Genomic DNA, 10,137 nt, shown 5'->3' on the forward strand with positions numbered 1-10,137 from the left:
TATACACATTGAGTAGAGTCATACACATGTATGATATATGGATTTAGCAACTGTTCACATAGTTGCTTCTCTTCAAGGTGTTTAACAAAAATTAACTAATGCTACATGCAACCTCCCATATGTTCACTGTAACATGCAACAACCCACAGAGAATGTGATGAAAACTTTAAAACAAAATGAAGTTCTAATTCGATTATTTTCTGTTTGATGGGATTCCTGGGGGAATTAACTACCAAATGGAGATTCAAATATCTAGTTAAGAGAAGGGATTAATATTATCCAGATAGTTATCTTGATATGTTAGCTTGTATCTGTAATAGATATTCTAGCCTTTATCTTTTTTCCTATTTTTCCTGGAGGCATTGCAATATTGCATTTAAAAAAAAAACCTTTCTGCCATATTGAGCAAAAGCAACATGATTAAAGTAACAAATGGAAACAAAACATGAGGATGGCATTTTAGGATTACAAAATGCTTTCCTGACAAATTTTCATTTCATGTTTACCACATTTTTTAAAGATTAGGTTATTATTCCTGTTTTAAAGATGGGGAAACTAAGTATCAGAAAGGTAAAGTGGGCCGGGCACAGTAGCTCACTCTGATAATCCTAGCACTTTGGGAGGCTGAGGCGGGTGGATCACTTGAGGTCAAGAGTTCGGGACCAGCCTGGCCAACATGGTAAAACCCTGTCTCTACTAAAAATACAAAAATTAGCCAGGCGTGGTGGTGTGTGTCTCTAATTCCAACTACTTGGGATGCTGAGGCAGGAGGATCACTTGAACCTGGGAGGTGGAGGTTGCAGTGAACCGAGATAGTGCCACTGCATTCCAGCCTGGGCGACACAGTAAGACATTGTCTCAAAAAAAAAAAAAAAAAAAAAAGAAAGAAAAGAAACAAAAAAGAGAAGAGAAGAAAAAGAGAAAAGAGTAAAGTGATTTTCCAATACTTTCACAGCCAGTCAAGAGAGAGCCAAGCAAAAATTTAAACCTGGGCTTCCAGCAGTCTTTCCCAATGTCTCCAGATGCTCTACTCCTTCCACCAGGATTTATCACAAGCTATAGCCAACTTCTCACAAAAGAATGTTAAAAAGGTGCTTCTCTGTAAAGTTGCCCTCCTGGCCTTCCCTTCATTGGTGCTGTTGATAGTGGTGCTTCTCCTGCCTGAGACAAGCCTGCAAAGGTGGATGGATATTCCTACCAGGACACACAGGGTGAGACTGCAATGGCAACCTGCAGAGTCCAGGGCTTGCCCACTATGAAAATGGTCTCCAAGTGTGCTCCTGCTTCATCTGGTCACCAACCTCCTTATGAATGAGGTGGGGCCAGGGCTCAGGGATTTAGAGTGAGGAGGGGGCCTCCAGAACCCAGAGGTAGGAACAAAAAGGCAAAGGTGGTAACAGCTGAGATGAACTTCCTTCTCTGCATCCCCTGCCATCCTTTCCACCCGCCTAGGCCATCTGGAGTTTCCAATTATGTGTCTTGCCCAAAGCTCACCTACCCTACACAGGAGTATTCTAGAGCAGAATCCATGGTGTGGTAAGGACCTGCCACACCCTCAACCCCCTTTAGAGGAACACTTTCCTAAAGCACAGCATTCTGTCTCCAGCTTTGTATTAATACTTTTATTTAGTGGACCATTCATGCCACCTGGGCCACAACTGATGATACCCAGGACTAGTGCCCCAACCAATGCAAGCTGCTCACCAGAGTGACCAACCACCTCTGAGGTGGCTTGGCACCAACTCACCCCAATAGAGGTGCTCTATATTGCAGAGTGACAAGCTGACCCCATCAGATGTCTCGCCTGGCACATGTGAACATGCGTATGGGCTCAGGCAAATGACTCGGGTTCTCCATTCACCAGTCCTGACTGTGCCGAGACCCAGAGTGTCTGTGGCTAATGAAGAAAGATGTCCTAATGCTGCCCCTTTCCCTTGTGTCCTAGAAGTAAGGCCCATCACCAAAGGAGGTCTGGGTCAGTCTTCCCTTAGCAATCTTAAATAGCCCAACAGATCAAGTATGATTCTCACTTAGAGGGAAGTCCCAGGAGCCCAAAGAGAAAAGTGACACACACAAGAATAACATCACCAGCTCACATGAGGGACCTGGGTCCCAGAAACCCACAGTTAAACTATTCTTTCCACATTTTATTTTATTTTATTTATTTATTTTGAGACAGAGTCTAACTCTGTCACCCAGGCTGGAGGGCAGTGGTGTGCTCTCAGCTCACTGCAACCTCCGCCACCCGGGCTTAAGCAATTCTCCCTGCCTCAGTCTCCCGACTAGCTGGGATTACGGGTGCCTGCCACCATGCCCGGCTAAATTTTTTTGTATTTTTAGTAGAGACGGGGGTTTAGCCGTGTTGGCCAGGCTGGTCTCAAACTCCTGACCTCAGGTGATCCACCTGCCTCAGCCTCCCAAAGTGCTGGGATTACAAGTGTAATATAATTGTAATATAAATTACACTTGTAATTACATGCCCAGCCCTTTCCACATTTTATATTCTGCTTCCTGCATCACTGGGCTAAGAAAAAAGTACTGAATATTCTCCCCAAAAGACTCTTGTAGGTCTGGGTCAGTCTTTCCTTAGCAATCTTAAATAACCCAATGGATCGAGTATGATTCCAGTCACTTAGAGGAAAGTCCCAGGAGCCCGAAGAGAAAAGTGAGACACACAAGAATAACATCACCAGCTCACATGAGGGACCCAGGTCCCAGAAACCCACTGTTAAACCATTCTTTCCACTTTTTTTTTTTTTTTTTTTTTTTGAGATAGAGTTTTCGCTCTTGTTGCCCAGGCTGGAGTGCAATGGCACGATCTCAGCTCACTGCAACTTCTGCCTCCGGGGTTCAAACGATTCTCCTGCCTCAGCCTCCTGAGTAGCTGGAATTACAGGCATGTGCCACCACACCTGGCTAATTTTGTATTTTTAGTAGAGATGGGGTTTCACCATGTTGATCAGGCTGGTCTCAAACTCCTGACCTCAGGTGAGCTGCCCACCTTGGCCTCCCAAAGTACTGGGATTACAGGCGTGAGCCACCACACCCAGTCTCCACATTTTATATACTGCTTCCTGCATCATTGGGCTAAGAAAAAAGATACTGAATATTCTCCCCAAAAGACTCTTGTAGAAAGTAGCTGAAAACTGTCAGAACAGATAAAGCGGAGATTATTGCTTTCTTTAAGGTCTGTTGCCTGATTTCCCTTAGGGCCCCTACTGTGGATGGTGGGGATCTGCCTAGAAGTCAGGCGTGTGTTAATTTGCATGATTGTGTTAACTAACCATCAGCCACTCCATCCCAGCTGCAGTATAACCTAAATTAATTCACTAGGAGCAGGTGGTTTAATTTGTACATTATTCACATTTGCTAATAAACAAGCAATTTGGATTTTAGTTAGAATTTTTTCTCAGGGACAGAGCCAAGGGTGTTTGCTCAGCATTTGGCCAAGGGAAATTCAACTCAGACACAACCCACCCCACCCTTCAGGCTTTTCATACTAAGAAAATCTGGTTCATCTCAAGCTCCTCCACATTCTTGCTCCCCAGGATCAATCCTGATCATAAAGGGTAAATGCACACTGCAGGGTTCAGGTTCACCTTTGCTACCAGCAGGGCCTGGCAGTGCCTTCCATGTAAGTCACTGGGCTTCTGCTGTGCTGAGACCCAGAGCCCTGGAGTCCCAGTTTTTAAATGGATTTCTGCCTGTGTCTAATATTTCTTAGATTCTTACTAGCTGCCTGCCCAGTTTATCATTTTTCATCACAAAATAGGGTCTTCTGCTCTGGCTCTGCACACCCCTCTTTCTGAGACTGACATCCCATCTGAACTTAGTCCAAGAGCTGAGATCTGGCTTCCAGATGACCAGTTTCCCTAAAAATGACTGTGTGCCTGCCCCGTCATGGGGTCCCCACCACTACATTTTGCTCACCTATTGAGTACAACAATAATAATAGTCAGTGTTTATTTCTGTGTCAGAATTTTGCAAAATTACTGTTCATCTTCATACAATTGGAGAATTGAGAAAACAGGCTCAGAAAAGTGCCTTGTCCTAAGTCACATAGCAAGTAGTGTGGAGCTGGAATTTGAGCACAGGTCTATCAGGATTCAAGTCCCACATTCAAAATCATGTTCATGTTACTCTTGCCTCTTACATCTGTTTGATCATGATCCAATGCCTGCCTTTCTTTTCTTTTTTTTTCTTTCTTTTCTTTTTTCTTTCTTTCTTTCTTTTTCTTTCCTTCTTTCCTTTTTCTTTTTTTAGCCTTTAGAGACAGGGTCTTGCTCTCTCTCTGTCACCTAGGCTGGAGCACAGTGATGCAATTATGACTCACTGCAGGCTCAAACTTCTGGGCCCAAGCCATCCTCCCACCTCAGCCTCCTGAGTAGCTTGGAGTACAGGTTTGCACCACCACACCCAGCTAATTTGTTTTTCGGTAAAGATGGGGTCTTGCTATGTTGCCCAGGCTGGCCTCTAACCCCTGACCTCAAGCGATCATCTCGCCTTGCCTCTCAAAGCACTGGGATGACAGGCATGAGCCACTGTGCCCTGCCCAAGGCATCTCTTCACCTCACTTCAGGGTAGGGAAAATTGGCACAATTGGCTGGGCTAGTTTGAATGTTAAGGAACTGGGCTGGGCAGTAAGAGACTCTCAAATGTGGCAGCAACTATGTAAAACCCAAGGCTGAATGTTAAATCCAATCAGAGAGAAAGGCCTGAGTGCCAAAGCCAGAGAAGCATGCTGATTGGTCAAAATATTTGAGAGTCATTCCTCGCCCTTGTGTGAAAAGGGTATAAAAATCCAGTGAGATCTGTGGCCGTAATCCTGGAGGTGACACCCAAGGCGGGGTACCTAAATAGCCCATGACTGCCATTGAGGGGTTGTCTGAGCCAGTGATGGAAATGATAGCATCCTGCTTCCAGGTGATTGTCACATCCATTCAAATGAATTATCATCAAAGGTATAGTGTAGGTTGAAGCACTTAAGGGGACAATTCTTCAAATGTCATTTAGTTCTCAGAAAAAAAGTTGTATGGTCTGTTTTACACCCAGTTGGTGATAAATGCAGTGAGGCTGTGCATACTGTGAACCCCACCCCCTCAGATCCATTATCATCTACCAACAGGGACCTCAGATCCATTATCATCTACCAACAGGGACCTCAGATCCATTATCATCTACCAACAGGGACCTCAGATCCATTATCATCTACCAACAGGGACCTAAGATTGTGCATGGTCAAATCAGCTGAAGCCACTTCTCCACACACCCCTTTGCACCATCTTAGACTGGTCTGAGCTGTAGCACCTTCATTTTAGGCATGTTCATAAGAAAACAGGGACCAACTCCCCCCAGTCAAGCCACATGAACCACCCTTCTTTCCCAGTGCATCTTCTCTAAAAGGACTTGGGGCCTTCACTTGGCAATTCCCCCAGCTCTGCTCCTCCCCAGCTCCTGGGGCCTCAGCAATGGACTCTTGTCCCTGGGTAGGAGCCAGTAATAAGGAGGAGGAGGAAGGGAACGTGTTGACTGAATGTTTGTGTGCCCCACCCTGGGACACCCCTGAAGTCAGATATTGAAGCCCTAGCCCCCAGTGTGATGGTGTTTGGAAATGGGTTTGGGAGGTCCTTAGGTCATGAGGACAGGACCCTGGTCTGAGGGGATCAGTGCCGTTATGAAAAGAGACACCATAGAGCTAGCACACTCTCCCTCCACTGTGAAGACACACTGAGAAGAAAGCTGTCTACAAGCCCAGAAGAGGGTCCTCACCAGGAATTGAATCTGCTGGCACCTTGAACTTAGACTTCCCAGCCCACAGAACTGTGAGGAAATGAATTTCTGTTGTTGAAGTCACTCAGTCTATGGTATTTTGGTATGGCAGCCCCAGCAGACTAAGACAGAAGCAGTAGAAGTAGAGGAAACCCAGTAGTCAGCACTCACCCACATGTCTAGCCTGCTCTGGAGAAGGCATAGTTCAGCTCATCCCCCGTCTTCCTGAAATACACCTTCGGGCAAGACCTGCCACTGTTACAGGCAGAGGAAGCGGCTGCCTTTATGGGGTGACTTACAGAGCTCTGAGAGGCCCACCTGCTCCCTGTGTCTCTGCTGTCTTGCCCCCACTCCCCACCCGGCTCGGAATTCTCTCCATTGAACTTGCTGACAGCTGTGGAGAAAGAAAGGCCCCAGGATGAGTGACCCTCTTCCTTGTTATAGGACTTCTTATTGTGCTTCTCTTAGGCTACACTAGAAGGACTTTTCTTTGGCATAATTCAAGTCAGGAAGGAGCTGGTTGGCTGGCACCTTGACAAGGTCACCAAGATCTTCAGATCTGAGGGTTCAGGAGCTCAATTCTGTGAATTCATTGAAGTTCTGGATGATTGGTTCAGGCTAATCAAACTCATGAGACTCGCTGGCAGCTGCTGAGCAAATTTTTTTCTAAAATGAAAAGTATTTTTGAAAAACTGAATTACTAATTCAAGGCAAGGTCATTGAGCAGGGCGTGGGAAGATTTTTAATGGTTGGTGTCATCAAGCTATAACAATCCTCTGCTCTAATAAAGTGGCACCTACCAAATGAGCCAGCAGACCCCTGGAGCTGGGCAAGGTACCCAGCTCCACTGGACAGGGCCAGAGAGAAATGGTAACTCTTCAATTCATTTGTTATTTTTATTTTTAATATCCCAAGCAGAGCAACTACCGTCATCACTCAGCATCGATTGGGGATTGGTTCCAGGACCCTCTGCAGATACCAAAATCCATGGATGCTCAAGTCCTGATATAAAGTAGGGTAGTATTTGCATATAACCTACGCACATCCTCCCATATATGTTAAATCATCTCTAGGCTACTTATATATAATACCTAATACAATGTAAATGCTATGTAAATAGTTGTTATACTGTACTGTTTAGGGAATCATGACAAGAAAAAAAAAAGTCTGTACATGTTTGGTCCAGACAGAACCATCCATTTTTCTTTTCTGGATATTTTCAATTCTCAGTTGGTTGAATCCACAAACGTAGAGCCCATGGACTGCATTTATTTCTGTGATTAATATGATAGTGTTTCCATGATTACTATTTATCTTAAATTACATTCAGATTGCATCTTTGCGACGGGTCTGGAGAGGCCCTCTAAGCTTATCTGCTGTACACTTCAAGTCATCTCTCCAGCAGATGGATAATCTCATCCATAGGATGTTAGGTCTTTGTGGCTTCAGTTTCTGATTGTGCCATTTTCTGTCCCCTTTCCACCAGTTTGGGTTACCATACTGAAGCAATGAAAAGATTAATGAAGAAGAGAGAGATTAACAGGGAAGGAAAACGGGAATGGAGGGATTCTGGTTGGGCTTGAGGATAGGTCGACTCAACTCTTTCTCATTCCAGCTTGGAGTTGACCCAGAGTCTCTCAATGGTCAGCGTTGGGTCCTGCAAAGGTACAGTTGGGATGGCCACTTTCCACCTTGGCAGAAAGAAGAAACTGAAGCAGACACATGGTGAGGCAGAGGTTAGAACCCCACAAATTTCTTGCAGAGTAGCAGCAACATCTGCGGGTGCAATGCAGGAATGGCCCCCGGTAAGAGAATGAGAGTGGAACTTCATTTGCAGGTATTTCTGTTCTTTTTCCAGGGTCCCATGAGGCCTGCCTATGCTTTTGCTCACAGAGACTATGAAATCACCTCTGCCCCGCCATTTAATTTCTCTCTTTCCTCAAACTAGTTTTGGTGAGTTTCCTTCTCTGTCAGCAAAGGACCTTGGCCAGGACATCTTGGAATCATCTAGGCCTCCCCTGTTAGTGGATCAAGAAGACAGCAAATTGATTAGCTGACACCTTAAATAAGCATAAGATACAGGTAGACTTACAAGAAAGTAAGGTAGCCTAAGGCCCAGGGAGAAATTGGAAGCCAGAGAGAAGGGATCTGGAGTGAGGGGGTCCATGGGAGGAAGAGACCACGTGAGGTTCAGAGACAGCACTCAAGTTAAACTTTCTGTAATTCATAACACACCTGGATACCAGTTGGGGCTACAAGAGGAAATGACCATCATTAAGGGAACTGAAAGCACCTTCAGTTTTCCCTCACAGCCTGACAATTCCAGAAAAGGTAGGCATTTTAGAGCCTGAATTCTCTAGACTGGGCTTTCAGTGTTAATCACATTCCCTGGATAATTGCACAGCTCCCCGCCTCACTATACCTGTGTGGTTTGCTTAAAGAGATGTTAAAACCTCCATAATTTTGCCACTCCCATATTGAATGAGAGTCAGAGCAATTTCTTTTTCACCCTAGTTATCCTTTCCTGTAAATGCCTGGATATTCTCTGAAAGTTTAAGCAGATTGAGGGATTTTTGCCCTACCATAGGTCAGAGAAAAACTCAATATTTGTTATTCTCAGATCTTAATGCCTGCTCATGGTGATTTTAATGCTGCTTTTAAAAACTGCTGTGGTATTTTAATAATAGGACGTTCTTTCTGGTATTGTTGAAACATTACATTATTCAATGTATCCAATTGCAATCCATTTTTCTCTGCCCTTGTGGTGCATTATTATCATGGACTCTTTGCAGAAGTATAATTTGGGGAGCAATTTTCTAGCAAACCATTGAAGGTGTTGCATTCCAAATGTGAGGTGATGTGCCACTCTGTTCATGAAACCACATTACAAGGCCGAGAGCCTTTTTTCGTAGTAAACACTGTTTTAGCCCAGTGATCCCAGTGGGACTCACGCCTCCCGCCTTCTCTCCCTCAGTCGGCCTCACTTCACCTCAGGGATCTGACTTACAAATCCAGCTTCTGGTGCCCAAGATGTGTTGCCACATACAGGGCCCTGGCTGACATGAGATCACATTCTTCCTGAAGCTATTTTGTCCTTAGAGTTGGATTTCTCCCTGGCTAGGTCAAGTGTGTTGCTTCCTTCAACTGGATATGGCTTTCTCTAACACAGAAATCACGCACCGGTGGTCAATAGGTCATCTCTGACCCACAACTGTGGGGTTTTAAATGATTTAAAAAAATTTAAATTCTAACTATAACAGACTATTTTTATAACAGTTTTAGTTTCACAGCAAGACCTAGTAAAGGTGCAGAGAGTCCCCATATACCCCCTGCCCCCACACATGCAAAGCCTCCCCCCTTATCAGCACCTCCCCCACCCCCCCAGCCTCTACTACCCCCACTGGAGTGGCACATTTGTTACAACGGATGAACCTAAATTGACACATCATTATCACCCAAAGTCCATAGTTTACACTGGGTTCACTCTTCGTGCTATACATTCCATGGGTTTGGACACATGTCTAGTGACATATATCTAACTATCAGAGTATCATTCAGAGCGGTTTTAATGCCTCCCAAATCCTCTGTTCTCAATTTTATTTTGAAAATTTAAAATCATTTTTTAAATGGTTGTCCAACTTTAAAACTCAGGAGTTTTCACATGAAAATAGGGACTTCTGGATTGTCTTGGCAATTCCGAAGCTTGGCCACACTATGGCACTAAGTCTAGGTTGTCCCTGCTAGGGAAGTCAGGTCCTACCCAATTCACCACAGACCTCATTACTCCCTACTGACTAGACTCTGGAGCCTGTTTGTTTTTTAAGACAGAGTCTTGCCCTATTGCCCAGCCTGGAGTGCAGTGGCGCCATCTCAATTCACTGCAACCTCCACTTCCTGGGCTCAAACAATTCTCCGCCTCAGCCTCCTGAGCAGCTGGAATTACAGGCACCCGCCAACATGCCCGGCTAATTTTTTGTATTTTTAGTAGAGATGGGTTTTCACCATGTTGGCCAGGCTGGTCTCAAACTCTTGACTTCATGATCCACCCAGCTCGGCCTCCCAAAGTGCTGGGACTACAGGCATGAGCCACTGTGCCTGGCCAACTCTGGGGTCTTTATTGAGTCATCATGCCTGTCTATCTTTGTAGACATTGAGACTATGGCCCCTGCTTTCATAGCTGTGGTGGGCAGAGACTATGAAATCACCTCTGTCCCTCCATTTAATTTATCTCTTTCCTCGAACTAGTTTTGGTGAATTTCCTTCTGTGTCAGCAAAGGACCTTGGCCAGGACATCTTGGAATCATCTAGGCCTCCCCTGTTAGTGGATCAGGAAGGCAGCTCTGGCTGCCTTTGGGAAGCCCTGGTTCC

General features: G+C 45.1%; 1 long non-coding RNA gene across 1 annotated transcript; it reads right to left on the reverse strand.

The window, feature by feature from the left end:
• Nucleotides 1-6,942: 6,942 nt before the first annotated feature.
• On the reverse strand, nt 6,943-9,813 carry LOC105377489 (uncharacterized). Its single transcript, XR_939351.1, has 2 exons — nt 9,772-9,813; nt 6,943-7,787 (listed from the first exon to the last, which is right to left on the reverse strand). It is a non-coding gene; the product is annotated as an uncharacterized LOC105377489 (long non-coding RNA).
• Nucleotides 9,814-10,137: the final 324 nt, after the last annotated feature.

This window comes from Homo sapiens, chromosome 4, assembly GCF_000001405.40.
Source record: "Homo sapiens chromosome 4, GRCh38.p14 Primary Assembly".
Lineage (NCBI taxonomy): Eukaryota > Metazoa > Chordata > Mammalia > Primates > Hominidae > Homo > Homo sapiens.